The following is a 26247-nucleotide window of genomic DNA, read 5'->3' as shown; positions in this document are numbered from 1 at the left end:
AATAATGTAGTAATATTTCCACTTACTTTGAAGAATGTGTCCGAGACGCTCGCAGATTAAATCTTTTTGAGATAAATACAATAAAAATGAGAATTACAAGGACAGAGAATGAAATAGAGCTTCTGAAGAAGAAAATAACTGACCTGACAAAATATAATGAAGCTCTGGGGTAGGTATTCTTATATTCAGTATTTGAGGGAGCAGGGGTCTGAGGCTGGAGTGGGAAAATTGTCGGGAGGGGTTTACTCTCTGATCTGAACTGTGGCAGGGCGAGTTGAGAGGTGAAGATGGCTTGTAGGAGATGGCCCAGGCTGATGGGGTAGGGAAGGTGGTGGCTACAGAGGACTGAGGAGGAGAGCAGAAAATCTTCAACCACAGCAGCCAGGAGGCTTGTAATATTTCAGAGGCAATCCAGCTTCCTAGCAGCAACTACTGTTTGTAAATCACACACTACCTCTAATGCTACATCCAAAGGTAGACACACAATGGGTTTAGTTTCCATTTTTGTAGAATTAAGTTTACAAACCCCCACCACCAAAGTAAGAAATCTTGCAGGGATTATATTGTAAATCTAATGTCAAACCAGACCTATTGTATCTAGTTCAGTTCATTGAAGATATTTAGTCATATTTGTAATCCACTGAAGGACTGAGGATGAGGCTGGTTCCCAGGACAGGGTTCCAGATTGTGTCTGTAATTAAATGAGATAATATATGAAACTGCCTATAGCTCAAGATCTGACACCTCTTAGTGAGCCTCATTTTCTCCATCTGTGAAATGGGGATCACAACTCTTAACTTTGCTAGCTCATGAAAGGAAGAGATATATTCTGAAAGATAGGCCCCCTTGAAGAATTACCCCTATGAGAAAATTTGATAAATTTTAATAAATATCATAAATATCAGCATGTTAGTTTCCAGAGTGAGAAATGTTCACAAAGAGCCCTTATCATAGGGGAAAAAAAGTCTTCTTGGGAATCCAAAATAATCAGAGGGTTGCCTGGTGTCCCAGATAATAAACATCAGAAATCAGCTAGAGACCTCAAGACCCAGGGACATTGATCCCAAACCAGGCTCTCAGAACACCTGTGCTGGGAGATGCTCCACAAAAGAGAAAGTTCATGATTACATAAGTTTGAGAAATACCACATACTCTAATCCCTGTTGGGGATTCACAATACAGATTTGTGTGTGGTGCGTGCTAGCCACCATGGCCAGAGCCTGCTACATAAACTAGACTATTCCTAAACTAATAGCAAGAAAAATAATACCCAGGCTAGATATTTATATCAACCGGTCAGCAACATCACATTCCTATAGACCAGTGATTCTCTAACTTGAGCTTGCATCAGAATCATCTGGAGGGCTTGTTAAAACACAAATTACTGGGACTTGCTTCCAAAATTGCTGATTTAACAGATCTGGGAGGAGTGCGGTGGGGATAAGAATTTGCATTCCTGACAGGTGATGCTGCTGCTGCTGGTCCTGACCACATTGGGAGAACCACTGCTCTAGACAAATCTTTACGGAAAGGCAATAACAAACAGAAGGTGGTGGCAGGTGTGTTGGCATCATCAAGCTACAATCATTTGTTGCATCATTTTTTCAAAGAGAAATGAATATCAAAGTGTTCACAGACTCTGACAGGTGGTGGGTATGTCTCCTGTCCTGGGCAAATTTCAAAAACTAGATACAGACAGAGCAGCTGTTTGAATGTGTTTTCCTGAGGCTCCACACTGTGTTTGTGAGTGTTCTTTTCTTCTCAGCCCATCACAACACACCTAGTGAGGTTTTTTGATTTCACTTATTTTGCTTTGTTTCCCCGAGGCTCCAGTCCTCAAGTTGATTCATTCTTAGAAGGCTTCCTCTGCTGCATCCACAAAGCACCCATTATCTGACCACCTACTGAGCCTCTCACCTAGACTTCTTTTTATTGCATTTCTTTTGTGGAGTTTGACCTCTGAAAGCAAACTTCCCAGCAGCCTGCTTTTATTTTCCTGAGCCTTCAAACACAATTCCTCTGAAACTCACTAGCCTTGAGGACTAGCAAAAGGAAAAGGGTCTTTACATTGCAGGAGCTTTTAAAAAGGAAAATAGAGAAATGGCACCAATTGTCCCTTTTGTAAACCTTTTGTTGTTAGCCTCTGGGTAGACAAAATCTTAAGGTCTTCCTCAGACAATCTTAAGGTCTTCCTTAGATGGACACCGCCCGCAATGGATGTGTGAGGTTAATGACTCCTATTGAGCTCAGAGTTGGCTACAGCTGGGAGAAGGTAAGAGGGCTCAAATTAGGTTTCAGGCATCCTTCAAACAGTAAAGATAGACTCTTTTCTTTCCCTAGTTTCTATCCAGAGGAAGGTGAGCTTTCTGTTGGGCCCTGCCTGCAGGGCTATAGCATCCAGGGTGGCTGGAGATGTGATGAGATTTCTCTTTCTTTAGCTTAACAGCCTATCTCAGGATGATAAGATAGACATGATGACAATACATATCAAAACACTCATCTGGCCAGATCCCATTCAGATCCTGTTCAAAATTACTTTTGAGTCATTGTATACTTTAACCCAAAATACCCTGTGGTCACTACCTGGCATCTGGGGACGGGTGGGGCGAGGCAAGGCCACGTGACATTCAAAAGTGGTAAAAGTTGCAAGGTTGATGCTTGTTTTGTGTTTCCTTCTGTCCTCATCTCAATTTTTTTTTTTTAATTTCAGACAGAGACTCACTCTGTCACTCAGGCTAGAGTGCAGTGGCATGATCTCGGCTCACTGCAACCTCTGCCTCCCAGGTTCAAGCAATTATCCTGCCTCAGCCTCCCGAGTAGCTGGGATTACAGGAGCACGCCACCATCCCCGGCTAATTTTTGTATTTTTAGTAGAGACAGGGTTTCACCATGTTGGCCAGGCTGCAATCTAACTCCTGACCTCTTAGGTGATTTGCCCACCTCGGCCTCCCAAAGTGCTAGGATTACAGGCATGAGCCACTGCACCTGGCCTTCAACCAAGTTTAGACAATCATAAACACAGTCATAAAATAAGTATTCCTTACACTTTTCCTCTTGCTGAGGGCTCTTCTCACCACACAGACTATTCCTTTCTTAGGAGCTGTGCTTCTCACTCTGTGAGCAATTCTTTCCTCCCAGGGAGAAGCAGGAAGAGCTAGCAAGGAAGCATGCAAGGTTTGTCCTGTCACTCAACCAAACTATGGAGAAAAAAGCCACCACCACTGTTTACATAAATGAGACTTATACCAAAATAAACTTGAAGAGAGAAGACATAGCATTGCAAAAAAAATGTATTCAAGAGGCAGAGGAGCTAATGGAAAAAGAAAGGGCAGAATATCTAATAAGAAAACAAGAGTTGACTGCACAGGTAAGTGGCATGATTTATTCTTTAAAATACAATAATGTATAGAATCTGGAGCAGGAAATGGGAAATAATTTATTTGTCCTCAAGGCTGGCAAGCAGCCTCTGTGGTATCTTCTGTGAACGCGCTGGGAAAACGGGATGAGCGGGAGACTCAAGGACACTTCTGCTCTTGGGGAAGACATTTGATTGGTAGCAGCATCTCAGTTCATGGGTAAGAATATAAGTGACAGGATTTGTAACACTGGGGTGTCCCCTTGCTTATATGCTGCCATACAGGGACAAGGAATAGGCTACCATCTTATCCAGTTGCCTTTGATAACCCTGAGACTGTGTCTGTATGGACAGGACTAGGGTATTCAGATAGGGCACCAGCCCAGCCCTGCTGTTCCTGATAAATGAATCAGAGAGAGCAGCAGCATGCAGTGGGGCCAGGCAGAACTGAGGGCTTTAAAGAGAAAACAATGTTTCGAGAGCAGCAAAATTTGTGAGGGTGGGGGAGGGATAACTACTGCATCTTTTTCTGCCACTGCAGGAGCTGAACTGCCTGCTGTGCCATGTTAATTAAAATTCAGCATCAGATCTGTTATGATTGTTTCTTCCTTGTTCTGCTCTGGTTGACTGGGGGAGAGGTGGTTTTGATAAGAGGGTGACATCGTTCATTAGGGTCTAACAAGTGGCACTGTGATAAAATGGTAAGAAGTTTTCCAGGATTACAAGCTGCTCTGTCTTTGATGATTTTGTTTACTCTGTGTTTAGCTGGTTTTATTTCCCATTAAATAATGTGAATTTAGATTCCCAGATAATTTCTTCAATCCTTCCTTCGACTCTTCTTGTTTGCTTAGTACGTTGTAAATCCGGTCACCACTGCTGTGGTGATTTACTATTAAATCACTACCGTGGCAATTACTTTTATAATTAGTTATTAACAATCATTGTTAGTATTGCTCTTACAAATTTACTATTTCAATATTCAATAATTACAGTTTGGCCTTTGTGGCTCATGCTTTTTCCTGTGATACTGCAAAATAAGGAAACCCTGGTTTTTAGGTTTATTTTTTACTTATTACTATACTTGAATATGTTATACTTAGATTAAATATGAATTAGGTTGACACTGTTTTTAAAAGATTTTTTAAACTTTGTTGTGCTAATAGGCTTTTTAAATTGGTTTCTTATGCTTGTCACTATAGATTAATGAATTTGAAAATACCCGTGAAGTAAAGAGAATGGAGACTTATCAAAAGAAGAAAGAATTGGATAAATTACAAACTAAAATGTCAAAAATAAAAGAAACAGTTACTGTTTCCGCAGCGGTAAGAAAGAATAAACTATATATATTTTTAAGCCTTATCTAGGCACCTCAATAAAAAAGGAGTTGATTGTAATTCATCTTCATGTCATGCTGAGAGGATGTTTTCTGCACGTTAACATTTTCTGACACTTTCTTTAAAGCGTTATGGTGCAATTGTGGTTTCCTCTTCAGGAATATGATGGGAAGAAGGAAATGTGGAATGCCTTAGATACAAACTGCATTTGATGGGCCAAAATACTGTTAAAATATTGATTTAAAAAAATATACAGAACTAACCAAATGTATTGATACATATAACATTTCCATGAGATTGCTTCATTTTGTATAACAAAATGAATAACCATGGGCTGAGTCCTTAATTCTGAATGTGGAATAATAGAACAGAGTTTAGGCTCTCTATTGAGTACAGCAACATTAATATGTAAAGGAGACCATTTGTCTATTTAAATTAGAAAATACATCAGAGCTCTGTACTTCTGTCAAAAAAATTGTGATAACATTTACTGAAAGGCAACACTGTGGTAAGTATTTTGTGAGGATTATCTTTATTTTAAAGATAAGAAAACATAAGCTTATGGAGGTGACTATAATTGAAGTGGTTAATGTAAATACTACTTGTATGTTAATTAAAACAAAAATGCCTGTTAACTTCTTATCACAATTAATTGAACTAATGAATCTTTAGTGTATTTTTTCTATGTGTCTTGAAAAATCACATGCAAACCTATACTGGTACAACAGTAAAACTGAATATTTTATATGGGGTGGTTCTGCTCATTTTAATTACAATATATCTATTATGATATCCAATTACAAAGCATTAATAAAATGAAAATTTTCTCCCAAATATGTGCATTTGAAAAATTATTATCTGTTTTTAAATTTCAACATAGTAAGGAAGCACTAAGCCTATAGGAAAATAGAAAGGCTATATAAAACGTATTCTATCTGCATGCCCACGCTCATATTTCCAGTTGTGGCCTCATAAATCATAAATCGAGTGCACCACCAACTAGCTTGGGAAAAATGAAATATGTCTTCCTTAGCCTGTACTCCGAAGATCTCTAAGCCCAAATTATTTTGAAGGCGGCAGGAGTAAATTTGCCTCCGGGTCCTTCCCCACTTCCCACAATCCAGCCTGCCCACCTTCCTACCCCTCCATCAGTAGAGAATAGTTTTGGAAGCACAAACTTGAGTCTCACACAGAGCTGCGTTCAAATCTTAGTTCTACAAACCTTTAGTTTCCTCATCTATAAAATGGAAGTATTAATATTGCCTACTGCAGAGCATTTTTGTAAAGATTAAATGAGGTCATGCCTATTAAGTGCATTATATTTGGTAGTTTGTTGCCGTTGTTGTTGGCTGAGGTTTGAAAACAGTATTTTGGCTATAGACTGAGACCACAAGGAATTTCAGATTAACTCACATGGGACGTCTCTGCAGCCAGGTAACATTGATATGTTGTTGGCAGAAAAAATAATAGCATGTGACCCTTAAGGCGGCCTACCTGTCCAGGCAAGGAGGACTGAGGACTAAAGATAACAGATGTCAGGCCTATCAGGCCTTCAGCATGTATCCCTAATTCTGATGATTGATCAGAGGCCTCTCAACATTTAGCTCATTCTGATGGTAGTTCTACGATTCCAGTTAGCTCTGGAACTAGCTATGGGTGCTCTAGAGAAAGAAACCATTTTGAGTAGCTTTTACCCACCTCTCTCACCTGGCGTGGCTGAGAGTGCCTCTATTCTCCCCACAGGTGTATCTCTGATCCCACATTGCTGTCCAGGGTTAGATGGCATTAAATATTATGTCCATGGTAATTCTCTGTTGGAGAGAAGAGGAATTTGTTTGATCAGCCTTGTCTAAGCTTCATTGTCCCTCACAAGCTGAAATGCAAACCCAAGGCTGAATAAGTTAGACTTTCCTTTTCTTGGTCCCAAAATTGCATTGCAAAAATGTCGGTTTCATTATGAATTTTCTCCATCAATTTTTCCTTCCTGTAAATCATAACTTTTTTTCACAGTATCCAATTATTCCATTTCCTAAATTTTGATTAAATATTAAGAAATAAAAATTCTTTTCAGCACAAACATAGATATCAAGGGAGACAAAAGACCCAATTTGTTTTGACTTTTTAAAATAATACTCATTTTGGTATCCTGGGATGATAAAGGAAGATGATTGTGACACTATGGATTTGTTTAATTTTTTTAAGTGTTAGACAAAGTTAATTCTTGTCTCAAAAGTTTGTAAAAACAGTTTTCACATTCTCACTGCTGTATTTAGCCATCTTCCCCTCTAAATTTTGTTTTTTTCTGATGATTTCAGAATTATTTGTGTCCAAGTTTATTTTATAGAGAAACAATTATAATGATTGCTTTTTTTCCTTGAAGTACACTCCTAATGTAAAAGTTGAATGAGTAATTCATGAATATTGAGTGGAATTGAACTGCTGTTATGAATCACTTGGTGATGATTGGATGCCATATTTTTGTTTAATTTTTAATAGGTTCTTAGTGATCACAATTTAGAGATAGCACGACTACACGAATCAATAAGGTATTGGGAACAAGAGGTCAGTGAGCTAAAGAAAGACCTTGCAATTCTGGAGGCGAAACTGTAAGTGTAATGCTTTATTTTTACTTAAATGTTTCGAGATATGTTAATATGATATAATATAGTTAATATGCTATGTTTTCATTTTTAAAAACATGTCTTTAATTTGACATGAAAATTATATTCTCTTAGTTTACTAAAATATATGTGAAAGCTTTATAGAGTCACCTTTTCATTGTGAAATTAGCTGATGATCAAGAGAAAAAATTAAAGATGCTGTCAGCTTGGGGAAAGGAAAGGACTCTTTGGAATGTCTATATTATTCTCATTTCAGTTCCGAACTCCCTATAAACAAAAATGCCCATGAGGGACGGCATTAGTGGGACATATCATAGGCTACAACCCATCTACCCATGCTGTTAGAGTTGTTCTTACTCAAAGGATACTTGCCAAACTTCCTAAGAAAATACAGGGAAGCCTCAGGGCAAAAACTGCTACACGTGGGACTGGAACCAGAAACTGAAGGAGGTCTTCCATCCATCCAAAGCCTCAGTCTGTGCTTCATTTTGTGGAAGTGTTTTACTCCTCTCTTTATCTGCACACAGTATTCTCTTCTTGGTGAGCACATGGCAATGTCTGGCTATGCCAAATCCTCCGAATTGACCTGGCACAGGTCCAACAATCTTTAAAGATTGGTCAACACACTCTCTCCCCCGAAAATCCCCAGATTTCATATCAGAATGTGTTTGGCTCAGCTTTGGTTCCTGATCCAATCAGCTCTGCACAAGAAGATGGAGTCTTATAACATGGCTTCCGGGGACTACTGCAGTGGTTCACTGACAGTTTAAGAAACAAATTGTGGACTGAGCAGATTCCCAAAATACAAGTAACCTCACATGTAGAATCTTGTTATAACATGGCTCATTTCTATATATATTTGAATATATTGTAATTAAAATTATAATAGGTCTTTCAAAACAGGATTTGTAGAGTACAATGCTGATCTACCATCATCAGTTCATAAAATAGGCAATAATCTTTATCTTCAGTATCAGATTAAAAATTAAGAAAGCTCAATTAATACCACAACTAAAACTCAAAAAAACTCTTTTATTTTGTGATTCAATAGTATTAGTTTACATATATTTTGAAGAAAAACTAGACAAAAAAGTCATAGTGAAAGATATGGATTACCTCAAATTATTTCTAGCTGTTATGAATAAAAACCTCACTACGTTGATGAAATTTTATTTATAAGCAGTCTTCATGTTAGCTAACGTGTGAGGATTCATTGATCTTCCATTTGTAATGATTTATCATTATCTATAATCCCAGCTTTTTAAGAGTTTGGATTCATGTAGAATCTCACCAAAGAAAAGTGCTTTATATTAATGTGGTGGTTGAGGATACAAGTGATCCTCCTTTTTATTCAAAAAATTTGCTCTTTCTCTTTATTACCTGGAAAATTAAAAGAAAGTTCCTTGTATTCTTTCTATTTTCTTCCTTAGCTGTTTCCTCTGTCTGTGAAGATAGGGAGAGGCAACCTAGTTCCCGCTTGGTGGATTTGAAGAATCAGTGCTGTTTTATAAGATTTCTATAAGAAATTATACAAGAAACTAAAATAATTTGCACGACACACTTTCCTATCAATCCTTAACCCTTCATTTTCCTTCATTAAATCTTTAAATTGCAAGCTGGTTAATAGCCTTGTTACCTATTTTGAATTCAAAATACTGAGGAAAACAAAATCACTCAACCATAAGTTTAAATTCCATGTGCGTTTGGACAAATAAGAGTAACTCAAATGCTCCATAGATCGACAGGAGGCACTGCAGTTTGATCCTTGTTCTTTCTTATCATTGATATCCAGTGTGATTACACAGATAAAGGTGAATCCAATGCCTACCTTTCTAATTCGCTATGGGGTTTCTTTGGCATTCAGCTGGTTTTCAGCACATGAGAAATGTGAAAGTTAAATGTTGTATATAAATGACATCCAATATGTGGCCTAGAGTATATCCTTGCCATTAAAGTGTATGAGGTTATGGAGACTATAGTTGCTTTTTTGCGCCAACGTGGTTTCAGAATTGCCACGGTTACTAATGGCTTCCATCCTGTTAAAGTTTAGTGGTCTAGTCAATTCCTGAAAGTTCTCAAATTCATAATAGAATTTGACAGTTTATCACTTCCACCTTCTTGTACTTCCTTCACTTAGCTTCCTAAATATCATGTTTTCTTATTTCACTGATCACACTGGCTGCTGCTTTTTAGGATCCTTTACTTGTTCCAATTCTTTTTTACGACTCTAAATTTCAAGTTCTCAGTCCTTCACTATTCTCTGCTCATACCCTCCCAATGTGATTTTATTCAGTCTCGTGGCTTTAAATACTTTCTTTACCTCAATGACTTGAGCTCTAAATGCAGATACTGTACACCTTACTTGACCTCTCCACTTGGAAGATGTCTATTATATATCTGTCTTATATAGATATAACATGTCCTGAACAGACTCTTGATTTCTCACCTTCCTGAAACAGCTCTTCCCACAGTCTTCCATTATCAGTTAATGTGGCACCGCCATTTACCTAGTTAGTCCAGCCAAAAGCCCAGGGGCCATCTACCATTTCTGCTTTCCTCACTACCCAACCCTGACTCAACTCTTACTCCAGCCAAATCCAAAGTCACGTCCTATTGCCTTCATATTCAAAATATATGCTGAATATATCTATTTCTTACCACTGCCACCACTGTAGCTTTAGCCTGAACAGCCGTGATCTTTTCTGGATCACCACCAGAGCCTTCTACATGATCTTCCTCCACAGTTGTCTTTCTCCACAAAGTAACCAGAGTCATCCCTACAAGATGTCCATAGGTTCATGTTGCTCTTCTGCTTAAATAATCTTCCCCTGTTCCCTTCAGAATAAAATCTGAACTTCTAGCCTGACCTTAACACCCTACATGATCAAGTTCCAGTCTATGTCTCCAGCCTCACCATCCTTCTTCCTCGAACACACCAAGCTTTTTCCTGCCTCTGTCTTGACGCCTGACGTTTCTTCCACCTGAAAAGCTCTTCCTTCAGATCTTCATGTTGCTGGCTCTGTCTTAACATTCAAGTCTTTCAGAGGTCATTCCAAAAAGGTCTTCCCTGACCACCTGTCTAGAGCTGCATTCTTGCTCCCAGGATCCTTTTATGGTTTATCCTACTTTGCGTTCTTTGGAGCACTTAATAGTATCTGAGATATATTACTTATTTTTTGATAACTTGCTTATCTCCTGATCCCTCCATGGAATGTAGTTTTCATGAGGGTAGGGACCTTGCATATGCTGTATCCCTAGTACCTGAAACATATCTGGCAGCGTATGTGTTCAATAATTGCTTCTTAAGTGAAAGAATAAATAAATAAATAATTCATCAGTTCAAAGGAGTATACATTTTTGTTTATTTTGATAAATATATACATAAATATGTTATATGGGGAGATGGGGACTGGAACTTTTTGATTTCATAAGGAAATATGACTTTTCTGGAAAGCATGTTCTTTTTTTTTTTCTTTTTCTTTTTGTTTTTTATACTTTAAGTTCTAGAGTACATGTGCACAACATGCAGGTTTGTTACATATGTATACATGTGCCATGTTGGTGTGCTGCACCCATTAACTCGTCATTTACATTAGGTATATCTCCTAATGCTATCCCTCCCCCCTCCCCCCACCCCACAACAGGCCCCGGTGTGTGAGGTTCCCCTTCCTGTGTCCATGTGTTCTCATTGTTCAATTCCCACCTATGAGTGAGAACATGGGATGTTTGGTTTTTTGTCCTTGCGATAGTTTGCTGAGAATGATGGTTTCCAGCTTCATCCATGTCCCTACAAAGGACATGAACTCATCCTTTTTTATGGCTGCATAGTATTCCATGGTGTATATGTGCCACATTTTCTTAATCCAGTCTATCATTGATGGACATCCGGGTTGGTTCCAAGTCTTTGCTATTGTGAATAGTGCCGCAATAAACATACGTGTGCGTGTGTCTTTATAGCAGTATGATTTATAATCCTTTGGGTATATACCCAGTAATGGGATGGCTGGGTCAAAAGGTATTTCTAGTTCTAGATCCCTGAGCAATCGCCACACTGTCTTCCACAATCGTTGAACTAGTTTACAGTCCCACCAACAGTGTAGAAGTGTTCCTATTTCTCCACATCCTCTCCAGCACCTGTTGTTTCCTGACTTTTTAATGATCACCATTCTAACTGGTGTGAGATGGTATCTCATTGTGGTTTTGATTTGCATTTCTCTGATGGCCAGTGATGATGAGCATTTTTTCATGTATCTTTTGGCTGCATAAATGTCTTCTTTTGAGAAGTGTCTGTTCATATACTTTGCCCACTTTTTGATGGTGTTGTTTGTTTTTTTCTTATAAATTTGTTTGAGTTCTTTGTAGATTCTGGATATTAGATAGCCCTTTGTCAGATGAGTAGATTGCAAAAATTTTCTCCCATTCTGTAGGTTGCCTATTCACTCTGATGGTAGTTTCTTTTGCTGTGCAGAAGCTCTTTAGTTTAATTAGATCCCATTTGTCAATTTTGACTTTTGTTGCCATTGCTTTTGGTGTTTTGGACATGAAGTCCTTGCCCATGCCTATGTCCTGAATGGTATTGCCTAGGTTTTCTTCTAGGGTTTCTATGGTTTTAGGTCTAAGACTTAAGTCTTTAATCCATCTTGAATTAATTTTTGTATAAGTTGTAAAGAAGGGATCCAGTTTCAGCTTTCTACATAAGGCTAGCCAGTTTTCCCAGCACCATTTATTAAATAGGGAATCCTTTCCCCATTTCCTCTTTTTGTCAGGTTTGTCAAAGATTAGATGGTTGTAGATGTGTAGTATTATTTCTGAGGGCTCTCTTCTGTTCCATTGGTCTACATCTCTGTTTTGGTACCAGTACCTTGCTGTTTTGGTTACTGTAGCCTTGTAGTATAGTTTGAAGTCAGGTAGCATGATGCCTCCAGCTTTGTTCTTTTGGCTTAGGATTGACTTGGTGATGCGGGCTCTTTTTTGGTTCCATATGAACTTTAGTTTTTTCCAATTCTGTGAAGAAAGTCACTGGTAGCTTAATGGGGATGGCATTGAATCTATAAATTACCTTGGGCAGTATGGCCATTTTCATGATATTGATTCTACCTATCCATGAGCATGGAATGTTCTTCCATTTGTTTGTGTCCTCTTTTATTTCGTTGAGCAGTGGTTTGTAGTTCTCTTTGAAGAGGTCCTTCACATCCCTTGTAAGTTGGATTCCTAGGTATTTTATTCTCTTTGAAGCAATTGTGAATGGGAGTTCACTCATGATTTGGCTCTCTGTTTGTCTGTTATTGGTATATAAGAATGCTTGTGATTTTTGCACATTGATTTTGTATCCTGAGACTTTGCTGAAGTTGCTTATCAGCTTAAGGAGATTTTGGGCTGAGACAATGGGGTTTTCTAAATATACAATCATGTCATCTGCAAACAGGGACAGTCTGACTTCCTCTTTTCCTAATTGAATACCCTTTATTTCTTTCTCCTGCCTGATTGCCCTGGCTAGAACTTCCAACACTATGTTGAATAGGAGTGGTGAGAGAGGTCATCCTTGTGATGTGCCAGTTTTCCAAGGGAATGCTTCCAGTTTTTGCCCATTCAGTATGATATTGGCTGTGGGTTTGTCATAAATAGCTCTTATTATTTTGAGATACGTCCCATCAATACCAAATTTATTGAGAGTTTTTAGCATTGGAGGGCTGTTGAATTTTGTCAAAGGCCTTTTCTGCATCTATTGAGATAATCATGTGGCTTTTGCTTTGGTTCTGTTTATATGCTGGATTACGTTTATTGATTTGCATGTGTTGAACCAGCCTTGAATCCCAGGGATGAAGCCCACTTGATCATGGTGGAATAGCTTTTTGATGTGCTGCTGGATTCGGTTTGCCAGTATTTTATTGAGGATTTTTTCATCGATGTTCATCAGGGATATTGGTCTAAAATTCTCTTTTTTTGTTGTGTCTCTGCCAGGCTTTGGTATCAGGATGATGCTGGCCTCATAAAATGAGTTAGGGAGGATTCCCTCTTTCTATTGATTGGAATAGTTTCAGAAGTAATGGTACCAGCTCCTCCTTGTACCTCTGGTAGAATTCTGCTGTGAATCCGTCTGATCCTGGACTTTTTTTGGTTGGTAAGCTGTTAATTATTGCCTCACTTTCAGAGCCTGTTATTGGTCTATTCAGGGATTCAACTTCTTCCTGGTTTAGTCTTCGGAGGGTGTATGTGTCGAGGAATTTATCCATTTATTCTAGATTTTCTAGTTTATTTGCGTAGAGGTGTTTATAGTATTCTCTGATGGTAGTTTGCATTTCTGTGGGATCGGTGGTGATATCCCAGTTATCATTTTTTCTTGCGTCTATTTGATTCTTCTCTCTTTTCTTCTTTATTAGTCTTGCTAGCAGTCTATCAATTTTGTTGATCTTTTCAAAAAACCAGCTCCTGGATTCATTGATTTTTTGAAGGGTTTTTTATGTCTCTATTTCCTTCAGTTCTGCTCTGATCTTAGTTATTTCTCACCTTCTGCTAGCTTTTGAATGTGTTTGCTCTTGCTTCTCTAGTTCTTTTAATTGTGATATTAGGGTGTCAATTTTAGATCTTTCCTGCTTTCTCTTGTGGGCATTTAGTGCTGTAAACTTCCCTCTACATACTGCTTTAAATGTGTCCCAGAGATTCTGATATGTTGTGTCTTTGTTCTCATTGGTTTCAAAGAACATCTTTATTTCTGCCTTCATTTCATTGTGTACCCAGTAGTCATTCAGGAACAGGTTGTTCAGTTTCCATGTAGTTGAGCGGTTTTAAGTGAGTTTCTTAATCCTGAGTTCTAGTTTGATTGCACTGTGTTCTGAGAGACAGTTTGTTATAATTTCTGTTCTTTTACATTTGCTGAAGATTGCTTTAGTTCTAACTATGTGGTCAATTTTGGAATAAGTGCTGTGTGGTGCTGAGAAGAACGTATATTCTGTTGATTTTGGGTGGAGAGTTCTGTAGATGTCTATTAGGTTGGCTTGGTGCAGAGCTGAGTTCAATTCCTGGATATCCTTGTTAAGTTTCTGTCTCATTGATCTGTCTAATGTTGACAGTGGGGTGTTAAAGTATCCCATTATTATTGTGTGGGAGTCTAAGTCTCTTTCCAGGTCTCTAAGGACTTGCTTTATGAATCTGGGTGCTCCTGTATTGGGTGCATATATATTTAGGATAGTTAGCTCTTCATGTTGAATTGATCCCTTTACCATTATGTAATGGCCTTCTTTGTCTCTTTTGATCTTTGTTGGTTTAAAGTCTGTTTTATGAGAGACTAGGATTGCAACCCCTGCCTTTTTTTTGTTTTCCATTTGCTTGGTAGATCTTCCTCCATCCTTTATTTTGAGCCTATGTGTGTCTCTGCATATGAGATGGGTCTCCTGAATACAGCACACTGATGGGTCTTGACTTTTTATCCAATTTGCCAGTCTGTGTCTTTTAATTGGAGCATTTAGCCCATTTACATTTAAGGTTAATATTGTTGTGTGTGAATTTGATCCTGTCATTATGATGTTAGCTGGTTATTTTGCTCGTTAGTTGATGCAGTTTCTTCCTAGCCTCGATGGTCTTTACAATTTGGCATGTTTTTGCAGTGGCTGGTGCCGGTTCTTCCTTTCCATGTTTAGTGCTTCCTTCAAGAGCTCTTGTAGGGCAGGCCTGGTGGTGACAAAATCTCTCATCATTTGCTTGTCTGTAAAGGATTTTATTTCTCCTTCACTTATGAAGCTTAGTTTGGCTGGATATGAAATTCTGGGTTGAAAATTCTTTCCTTTAAGAATGTTGAATATTGGTCCCCACTCTCTTCTGGCTTGTAGAGTTTCTGCTGAGAGATCAGCTGTTAATCTGCTGGGCTTCCCTTTGTGGGTAACCCAACCTTTCTCTCTGGCTGCCCTTAACATTTTTTCCTTCATTTCAACTTTGGTGAATCTGACAATTATGTGTCTTGGAGTTGCTCTTCTGGAGGAGTATCTTTGTGGCGTTCTCTGTATTTCCTGAATTTGAATGTTGGCCTGCCTTGCTAGGTTGGGAAGTTCTCCTGAATAATTCCCTGCAGAGTGTTTTCCAACTTGGTTCCATTCTCCCTGTCACTTTCAGGTACACCAATCAGACGTAGATGTGGTCTTTTCACATAGTCCCATATTTCTTGGAGGCTTTGTTCATTTCTTTTTACTGTTTTTTCTCTAAACTTCTCTTCTCGCTTCATTTCATTCATTTGATTTCAATCACTGATACCCTTTCTTCCAGTTGATGAAATCAGCTACTGAAGCTTGTGCATTTGTCACGTAGTTCACGTACCATGGTTTTCAGCTCCATGAGGTCATTTAAGGACTTTTCTACACTGGTTATTCTAGTTAGCCATTCGTCTAATCTTTTTTCGAGGTTTTTAGCTTCTTTGTGATGAGTTCGAATTTCCTCCTTTAGCTTGGAGAAGTTTGATCATCTGTGGCCTTCTTCTCTCAACTTGTCAGTCATTCTCCATCCAGCTTTGTTCCATTGCTGGTGAGGAGCTGTGTTCTTTTGGAGGGGGGGAGGTGCTCTGATTTTTAGAATTTTCAGCTTTTCTGCTCTGTTTTTTCCCCATCTTTGTGGTTTTATCTACCTTTGGTCTATGATGATGGTGATGTACAGATGGGGTTTTGGTGTGGATGTCCTTTCTGTTTTTTAGTTTTCCTTCTAACAGTCAGGACCCTCAGCTGCAGGTCTGTTGGAGTTTGCTGGAGGTCCACTCCAGACCCTGTTTGCCTGGGTGTCAGCAGCGGAGGCTGCAGAACAGTGAATATTGCTGAACAGCAAATGTTGCTGCCTGATCATTCCTCTGCAAGCTTCGTCTCAGAGGTGTACCCGGCCAGTTGACGTGTCAGTCTGCCCCTACTGGGAGGTGCCTCCTGGATAGGCTACTCGGGGGTCAGGGACCCACTTGAGGAGGCAGTCTGTCTGTTCTCAGATCTCAAACTCCGTGCCGGGAGAACCACTACTCTCTTCAAAGGTGTCAGACATGGACGTTTAAATCTGCAGAGGTTTCTGCTGCCTTTTGTTCGGCTATGTCCTGCCCCCAGAGTTGGAGCCTACAGAGGCAGGCAGTCCTCCTTGAGCTGTGGTGGGCTCCACCCTGTTCCATCTTCCAGGCCGCTTTGTTTACCTATTCAAGCCTTGGCAATGGCGGGCGCCCCTCCCCCAGCCTCGCTGCTGCCTTGCAGTTGGATCTCAGCCTGCTGTGCTAGCAATGAGCGAGGCTCCATGGGCGTGGGATCCTCTGAGCCATGCGCGGGATATAATCTCCTGGTGTGCCGTTTGCTAAGACCCTTGGAAAAGTGCAGTATTAGGGTGGGAGTGACCGGATTTTCCAGGTGCTGTCTGTCATGGCTTCCCTTGGCTAGGAAAGGGAATTCCCTTACCCCTTGTGCTTCCTAGGTGAGGTGATGCCTCGCCCTGCTTCAGCTCTCGCTCAGTGGGCTGCACCCACTGTCCTGCACCCACTGTCCAACACGCCCCAGTGAGATGAACCCGGTACTTCGGTTGGAAATGCAGAAATCACCCATCTTCTGTGTCACTCACACTGGGAGCTGTATACTGCAGCTGTTCCTATTTGGCCACCTTGCCTTAGAATTCAAAAGTATGTTCTTATATGAATCTGTTTGGCTTCCTTTGTTCATAGGTGTTTTTTCACAGATAACAAAGAAAAACTAGATGATATATCTAATGATGAAAAAAATGAATTCCTGAACAAGATAAAACAGGTAAGAAGGCAGAAGTCATGACTTTTACATTATAATTACATTTCATTTTTAGTTAATGTTTAAAATATGTGAGAAATATAGAATTTTTCAAAAGGATGTTTTTCATTGACCAATAATATGGTTGTTTGTAGTAATTTAAAAAATTTTATCTCCTCCCAAAGTACTTTAATTATATCAAAGAGCAAAGGTTGTCCATGTACAGAGGAACTGTTTTTTGGTAACTTTTCATGTGAGTATGGGTACCTTAGGACTATCCATGATTAATGGATTAATGGATATTTTTGATGTGAATTATTTAGAAAGTTAGAATCTTCTTGCTGTTGTGTGCTACGCCTGTGAAGTGCAGCAACCTGCTCTACACTTAAGAATATTCTAAATATTATATATCATATTGTGATGGTTAATACTGAGTGTCAACTTGACTAGATCAAAGGATGCAAAGTATTGATCTTGGGTGTGTCTGTGAGGGTGTTGCCAAAGGAGATTAACATTTGAGTCAGTAGGCTGGGAAAAGCAGACCCACCCTTAATCTGGGTGGGCAGCATCTAATCAGCTGCCAGTGCGGCCAGGATATAAAGCAGGCAGAAAAACGTGAAAAGACTAGACCAGCTTAGCCTCCCAGACTACATCTTTCTCCCATGCTGGATGCTTCCTGCTCTCGAACACCAGATTCCAGGTTCTTCAGCTTTGGTACTTGGACTGGCTTCCTGGCTCCTCAGCTTGCAGATGGCCTATTGTGGGACCTTGTGATTGTGTGAGTTAATACTCCTTAATAAACTCCCCTTTATGTATACATCTATCCTGTTAGTTCTGTCCCTCTAGAGAACCCTGACTAATACACATATTATAATATAATATTCTAAATACTTATTTAGAAGTATTTGAGTCAGATTTAGCCCCCAGGAAAATTCACTAGACATTTTTCAAACTTAGGTTAAAAAAAAATCATATCATAAGTAGATAATCATGTGAGTAAACCAAGATTTAGCCTCAAAATATTCAATGAAGCCTTCATTAGGATAGTGAAAAATTGGGGGTGAGGGTGAGTAATACAATTAAAATTCAACCAAAAGGCCTTGGTTAAATAAGTATCAGTATTGCTCATAATACGTTATTGAGTGACAAATACTATATTATAAAACAGTAGGCTAGTCATGGTGGCTCACGCCTGTAATTCCAGCACTTTGGGAGGCCTAGGTGAGTGGATCACCTGGGGTCAGGGGTTTGAGATCAGCCTGACCAATATGGTGAAACCCCATTTCTACAAAAATAAAAAATTAGCTGGGTGTGGTGGTGTGCACCTGTAGTCCCAGCTGCTCAGGAGGCTGAGACAGGAGAATTGCTTGAACCTGGGAGACAGAGGTTGCAGTGAGCTGAGATCGCACCACTGCACTCCAGCCTGGGGGCAGAGCAAGAGTCCCTCTAAAAAAGAGAAACAACAGTATGTATGATATGATCCCATTTAATTACTTATACACACAAATATACATACACACTAGACATAACTGAAATTCTTCTTGTCCCTTGTATTGAAGGAGAAATATCCTTAGTATCTCTTCCCAACACCTCATATATCCAAACTTAATTTCCTTTCTTTTCTTTCTTTTTTTTCTTTTTCTTTTTCTTTTTTTTTTTGAGACATAGTCTCACTCTATCACCCAGGCTGGAGTGCAGTGGCATGATCTCAGCTCACTGCAACCTCTGCCTCTGGGGTTCAAGCGATTCTCCTGCCTCAGCCTCCCAAGTGGCTGGGATTACAGGCTTGTGCCATGACACCTGGCTAATTTTTGTACTTTTAATAGAGACAGGGTTTCATTATGTTGGTCAGGCTGGTCTCCAACTCCTGACCTGAAATGATCCACCCACCAGGCTGGAATGCAGTGGCATAGTCACAAATCACTATAGCCTCAACCTCCCAGGCCTAGGTGATCCTCCTGCTGCAGCCTGCTGAATAGCTGAGACTACAGGCACTCAACACCATGCCCAGCTAATTTTTAAATTATTTGCAGAGACAGGTCGCTTTATGTTGCCTCGGCTGGTTGTGAACTCCTCAGTTCAAGCAATCCTCCTGCCTTGGTCTCCCAGAATGCTGGGGATTACAGGCGTGAGCCACCACCCCTAGCCACACATACTTAATTTTAATTGTTCAGGACTTGGGTCAGGTACTCTCTGTCTACATCCTCTATCTTTGTTTTGCCCAAGTCAACCAGGATATAAAATTCACATTTTTCACTAGTTTCTAAAACAAATTTAATTACACTAAGCATTTCATGATCTATTGCAAACTCTGTTGGAAATTTTAGTGGTCATGGGGAGAAATCCTGTTGCAGAGCACAAAGCCATCTTGTTCACCACCTTTTCTTTCTCTCACAGTTCCTCATCTATCTTCTTGCTGTAGGATACCACCCCACATCCAAATTCTTCTCCCTCTTTTACAAAGCATAATATCTGCCTCTGTACCCATGCCCTGAGGCTCATCAGGGATATCAAAGGCAGCTCCCTCCCAGAAGAATGATTTGTACCAATTAAATGCTTTCCATTTTTGCTTTTGTGAGCTATCAGCATGAGAGATGGCTTCCCCTCTGGGCTACTGTGATTCTTTTATTTGCAAGGATACCTAACAACAGACAGAAACCAGACAAGGTTGGTTTGTTGGCTGGTTGGTTGGTTTCGAATTTGTCTTTCATTTTGTGAGCAAAATATTATTTTTCCTCCCATTTGTTTCCTACTGCAGAAGCTAGTAGACAACTTTCTGACAATAACTCCACATTTTCTAGCCCACATGATTTTCTGAACAGTCTAGGACCCCTAAACTGGCATGGCTTACTTGGTCAAAGAGTTTTCCTTTAATCCATAGCCCTTAGCCAAATTCCATGGTTATAAGTGAGTGATCACTTCAAAGAATGCAAGGCTCTTGCTTATTTATTATTTTCACTAGGGTAGAAACTATGGGCTCTTAGTGACATCCAATCATAATTCTCATGAGTTATTGGAGGAACATTCAAAGATTGACATTCAACTCAAACTTTACCTTTTTTTCCCAGCATCTCCCCTCCCTCACCAGCCCTTGGCAACCACCATTCTACTCTCTACTTCTGAGTTCAGTTTTTTTTTAGATTTTGCGTATAATTGGGATCATGTAATATTTGTTTTTCTGTACCTGAATTATTTCACTTAACATGATGTCCTCCAGGTTCATCCATGTTGTCACAAATGACAAGAATTTCTTCTTTTTTAAGGCTGAATATATTCAATTGTGCATGTATACATTTTCTTTATCCATTCATCGGCTGATGAACACCTAGGTTGATTCTACATCTTAGCTACTCTGAATAGTGCTGCAATGAACATAGAAGTACAGATATCTCTTTGCCATACTGATTTCATTTCCTTGGGATATATACCCAGCAGTGGCATTGTTGGATTTAGCTTTGTTATTATAAAATATTACACATTACAGAACAATACATAAACCATAAATATACAATATTTATGTACATATTTTTGATGAATATAATTTATTAATTTTAATGAAGTCCAGTTTATCAATCTTTTTAGTTAATGTTCTCTATGTCCTATGTCATGAGACTATTCTCTTCTGTTACCATTGAGAAGCTTTGTTGTTTGACCTTTCACATTTAAGACTACGAACCATCTGGAATTTATGTGTATGTGCTTTGAGATAGTGGTCAAGATTCATATTTTTCCATAAGGTTGTCCAATTAACCAGCACCATTTACTGAAAATACAATCCTTTCCTTCACTACATTGTGGTCATACTATTGTCATAAATCAAGTATAGATCATAAATGTATATGTGGATTGTTGACTCTATTCATTTGAACTATTCATCTCTCCTCACACTAAAACAATATTGTCTTAATTAGTACCTTTAAAATGAGTTTTTATGGCCAGTGGTATAAATCCTTCACCTTTGTTCTTCAAAAGTGTTCCAGCTATTCTTGACCTTTTCAATTTTGTCACGTTCTTCCAAAAAACCTGTTTGGATTTTGATTGGGATTGTGTTAAATCTGTAAATCAGTTTGAAGAGGGTTTCACATTTTCACAGTATTGAGGCTTCCAATCCGTTAACATGGCATATGTCTTTTGTTTTAGATCTTCTTTGTTCCCTTTGCCTTAGCTGTTCAGTTGCACTATGATGTGTCCAAATTTTCTTTTCATTTTTCCTCCTTGGGATTTATTTGGCTTCTTAAATCTGAGAATTTCTATATTTCATAAGTTCTGCAAAATTTTCAGCCATTATGTCCTCACCTGTTTCTTTTGTCCTATTCTCCCTGTGTTGCCCAGGCTGGTCTCTAACTCCTGGGCTCAAGTGATCCTCCCACCTCCGCCTCTCAAAGTGCTAGGATTACAGGCACGAGCCACCACACCTGGCCTATAGTAGATTTTGATTGCTTTGTTTTACAGTATTGATTTTACTCAAATGTTGAGAAGCTCTAGATATTTGTTCATCTTTTAATTGTGCATTCTTTTTTATTTATTTATTTATTTATTTTTGAGACAGGATCTCACTCTGTCACCCAGACTAGAGTGCAGTGGTATGATCATGGCTCACTGCAGCCTCGGACCTCCCAGTCTCAAGCAATCCTCCTGCCTCAGCCTTCCAAAGGGTGAAGCTCTTTGGAATCCCAGACTAAAATAGTGGGAGGTTTATGTAGGCTCAACACCTGGATGAGCATTACATGTTGGCTTTTGTTCCACTTGCCATGCAAAAAAACCCAAAACTTGGTTTTCAAGTGGTTTCTTCTATGTTAGTAAGTGTTTTCAAGGCAGAGGAATTTTAAGTGCTAGCCTTACCGCTCTGGATTCTTCATTCTCCTAGAATTAGGCCTAGCAATCACCTATTATCCTTTATTTTTTATTTTTATTTTTTTAGATTCAAGCACATGTGCAGGTTTATTACAAGGGTATATTGCATAATGCTGAGATTTGGGCTGCTAATGATCCCGTCACCCAAGTAGTGAACATAATACCCAATAGGTAGTTTTCCAACCCTTCCCCACTTCTTCCCTCCATCTTTTTGGAGTCCCAGTGTCTATTGTTCCCATCTTTGTGTCCATGTATACCTAATATTTAGCTCCTACTTATAAATGAGAATATGCAGTATTTCATTTTCTGCTTCTGCATTAATCCACTTAGGATAATGGCCTCTAGGTGCACCCATGTTGCTAGAAAGGATATGATTTCATTCTTTTTTATGGCTGCATAATGTTCCATGGTGTATTATTACCACATTTTCTTTATCCAATCCACTGTTCATGGGCACCTGGGTTGATTCCATGTCTTTGCTATTCTGAATAGTGCAGCAATAAACATGAGCACAGGTATCCTTTCGGTAGATTAATTTATTTTCCTTTGGGTATATACTCAGTAATGGGATTGCTGGGTTGAATAGTAATTCTATTTTTGTTTTTTGAATAATTCTTTGTTATCTTGTGAGTTCTTCAACACTTCTACAAATATTTTTTCATGTAGCTATTTTAGTTGTCCTCAGATAGAAGGTTGTTTTGAACTATTCAGCCCATTGTTTCCGCTAAACTTGACTTTCTTACCTCGTTTGAAGCAATTTAATAAGCAAAAAATTCTGATCTCATGTAGAACACTGGTGGGTACTATTTTTTGTCCTCAAATAGAAATATTTCACAAGAAGCAAGCATAATATCAACTCAAAAATGTTTTGAGGAAGAGCTTCTGAGGATGTTACATTTTCTATAGTTTATATTCTGGAAAAGGACATACTAACGTTGCTCAGCAGTCACAGTTTATTCATCCCATTTTGCATTTCAATATGGATTATTACTCTATGGTTTTGCAGCAGGGTTTACTATTTTTCTATACTTAAAAAAATTTATAGTAGAGGTCTCAAAATATACAGTTGTATGTTTGCTATAGAATTAAATCACTCGGCATTTATGGCATATTCACGGTGGGCTAAGCAATATCCCAGGTGCTCTCCGAGTTGCCACCTGATGCAGATGGCCTCAGAGGAGCAGTGAAGCCAGTCCTCTCATTCACCTCCTTTGTTTTTCTCTAGCTGGTTGAAACACTGCATGCTGCTCGTATGGAATACAAAGACCTACGAGAGAAAATGAAAACTCTTGCCAGACAATATAAGATTGTTTTAAGTGAGGAAGAAAAAGCTTTTTTGCAAAAACAAAAGATTCATGATGAGTATGTCTTTACCCACACGTGTGATTCAACATGCCATCATTATGGGGTGCTTTTCTTGCTATCAAAGTGGTGGCTCTCCACTTAAACTTATCCTAGTTTTAAAATCTATTGACAAAAATGAAAACATTTGCTATCATTACTGGTTTCTGTCTCAGCAGCTCAGGCTGCCATAACAAAATACCATAGACTGGCTGCTTAAGCAACAGAAATTGATTTTCTCACGGTTCTGGAGGCTGGAAGTCTGAGTGAGGGCCCTTTTCTAGCTTACAGCCACCCAGCCGCTTTCTCTCTGTGTCTTCACAGGGTGGAGAGAGAACATGCTGTCTGTCTGGTGTCTTTCTTTTATAAGGTCCCACCCTCATGTCCTCATCCAAACCTAATCACTTCCCCAAAGGCCCCATCTTTATAATATGCTCGAGCATTATCACGACACTAATGCCCCACAATGTTCCTTTCTGCCATTCTAAAGCACTTTAAATTTTAATTTTTTCTCATGAAAAAAGCAATGCCTGTACTTGATTTTTAAATTCAAATATAGAAATGTATAGCTTAGAGAGTAAAAATTACCCAAATCTCTCTATTTCTTCATCATGTTGGGGGTTAGCATTTCAACAGATAAATTCTGGAGATGGGGGAGGCACAATTCAGTCCACAGCAGTTTGGAAGATGAGTCACTTAGATAAAATACTTTCTGATACAGGCAGCTTCCTATCAATAGCTGGGCATTTGAACAAGACTATAAACTTCTCTGAGCCTCATTATTTTCTCCTGCAATTTGAGACAAAAAAATAACTACTTGAAACCCCATCTCTACTAAAAATACAAAAAATTAGCTGGGCATGGTGGCGGGTGCTTGTAATCCCAGCTACTCTGAAAGCTGAGGCAGGAGAATCGCTTCAACCCAGGAGGCGGAGGTTACAGTAAGCTAAGATCATACCATTGCACTCTGGCCTGGGCGACAAGAGCCAGACTCCGTCTCAAAACAAAACAAACAAAAAAAACCCTTATCAATCCACACGCTGAGAGGAGCACTTTACATCTTATTAAATTCATTCATCCGTTGAGCTAGGCATTGTAATTCTCATTTTATAGCTGGTGAAACTGAAGCTTATTCACAGGTGAAGCTAATTGTTAGCTTAAGATCACACTCTTATTAAAAGGTAGAGCCAATATGCAAAATTAATCTGACTGACTCCTTCACCTTCCATGGAAGAACATGACAGAATTGATAAGCACGTTAGGAGAGACACACCCACTCAGAGACATGGAGCACTACACAACTGTTCTTGTTGTTTTGTGGTTACTATTGTGGTGAATATTCTTTCAGTGGCTTGGGAATTTTCATAAATTTTATGAAAATCCTATGTGTATGCTGGGCACAGTGGCTCACGCCTGTAATCCAGCACTTTGGGAGGCCAACATGGACCAATCGCATAAGACCAGGCATTTGATACCAGCCTGGGCAACACAGGGAAACCCCATCTCTACAAAAGTACAAAAATCAGCTGGGAAAAAATTTGAAAAAAAGAAAATCCTTTGCATAAATTTAGATCTAGCTACCACTAGCAAAAAGACTTGCTTTCTATTTTTTAATAATTTATGTAGCAAATAGCTCATGATCTGAACTTTCAAAACTATTTTTGAAATTCTTATTTGTGTTTGCATATTTATGTCAGCCTTCAACAAATAACTCTGTTTTTCATGATAGAAATCAGAAACAGCTGACATTTATTTCTCAGAAAGAATACTTTCTGTCACAAAAGAGAGTAGACATCAAAAATATGGAAGAAGGACTCATCACACTCCAGGAACTTCAACAGTATGTTTGTTGCCTTTGAAATTTTTTATCTTTACTTTCTCTGCATTTATTTTTTAATAAATGATAGCAGTAAATCTATGTTGATTTCTAACATACTACAGAAAAGGAAGTTTAGAACTAGCTCTCTCTGTTTCACAGTCTGGAAGTCACTCTCATGGACTTTTTCATTGAAAGGATAAACAGGTTCTGAATTCTATGGGAGCTCCTGGGCCCCAGGAATGGACCAGTTGGGGTGCAGTGACAAGAATGTGCCTGAACATTATCACAACACTGAGTCCCATTGATGTTCATTTCTGCATTCTAAGTCATTTTAATTTTAATTTTTTTCTGATTAAAAAATAATACCTGTACATGATTTTAAAATTCATATATAAAATGCATAACTTAGAGAATAAAAGTTACCCTAAAATCTCCATCTCTCCACAGGCATAATCACTGTTAACAGTTTACAATATATGCTTTCAAATATATATTTATATGTATGTATCCAAAAATTGGATTATACTCTACTATAACTGAATTTGTTCCACTTAAAATTATACCTAGGAGGATGATAAAACAAATAAGGTAAAATGTTAACAGTTGGAGAATTTGGTGAAGGATATATGGGAATTCTTTGTACTATTTTTTTATGCTTACCTGTTGAGTTTAAAACTATTTCAAAACAAAGAGAATATATATATATTCTCAATATATCTCAATCTTTTCTCTAACTGCATAGTATTCTATGCAGATTATAGTATAATACACATTATACTATACTGTATTTAACCAGCACTCTATTGATGGAGATTTACTTTTGTCTGTTGCCTATATTACAAATATTTGAAGTTAACATATCTCTCTCTACCCATATGACTTTTTTTTTGTAATAAAGTCCTAAAAGTTGAAGTGCTGGATCAAAGGAGGATGCATATTTTTCACTTTTATAATGATTGTCAAAATGACCTATGTAAATATTCTACCATTGTACACATTAAGACTGAGCATAAGGAGCTTATAGTTCAGTTGGGCAGAGAAGCAAGACTAACACATATGAAATAATTAATGAACCACATATGATGGTGAAAAATAAACCATGTATGACAGTGAATTATATAAAACAGTCGGGCATGAAAGTGAAATCAAGGAGTCCTTCGTTATATAGGATTTAAAATTTGAACTAGACCTTTAAAAG

At 38.6% G+C, this 26247-nt stretch overlaps 1 protein-coding gene across 12 annotated transcripts in view; it reads left to right on the top strand.

Annotated features, from left to right (window-relative positions):
- The window catches only part of CCDC175 (coiled-coil domain containing 175), a 71746-nt gene that overhangs the window by 8399 nt on the left and 37100 nt on the right, over positions 1-26247 (top strand). For 9 of the 12 annotated variants that reach the window (XM_011537124.4, XM_011537122.4, NM_001164399.2 and 6 more), the window contains exons 4-10: positions 34-169; positions 3139-3367; positions 4555-4677; positions 7186-7295; positions 16978-17059; positions 23115-23251; positions 24960-25070. In XM_011537124.4, coding sequence (XP_011535426.1) covers positions 34-169; positions 3139-3367; positions 4555-4677; positions 7186-7295; positions 16978-17059; positions 23115-23251; positions 24960-25070 — 928 coding nt within the window. Of the gene's footprint in view, positions 1-33; positions 170-226; positions 1560-3138; positions 3368-4554; positions 4678-7185; positions 7296-16977; positions 17060-23114; positions 23252-24959; positions 25071-26247 lie in introns of those variants that run through there. The other 3 variants (XM_047431747.1, XM_047431746.1, XM_047431751.1) reach the window with 3 other exon arrangements.

The sequence above is a fragment of the Homo sapiens genome, chromosome 14 (assembly GCF_000001405.40).
Source record: "Homo sapiens chromosome 14, GRCh38.p14 Primary Assembly".
Lineage (NCBI taxonomy): Eukaryota > Metazoa > Chordata > Mammalia > Primates > Hominidae > Homo > Homo sapiens.
Note: the sequence above shows the minus strand (reverse complement) of the source record. Positions and strands in the feature narration are given on the sequence as shown.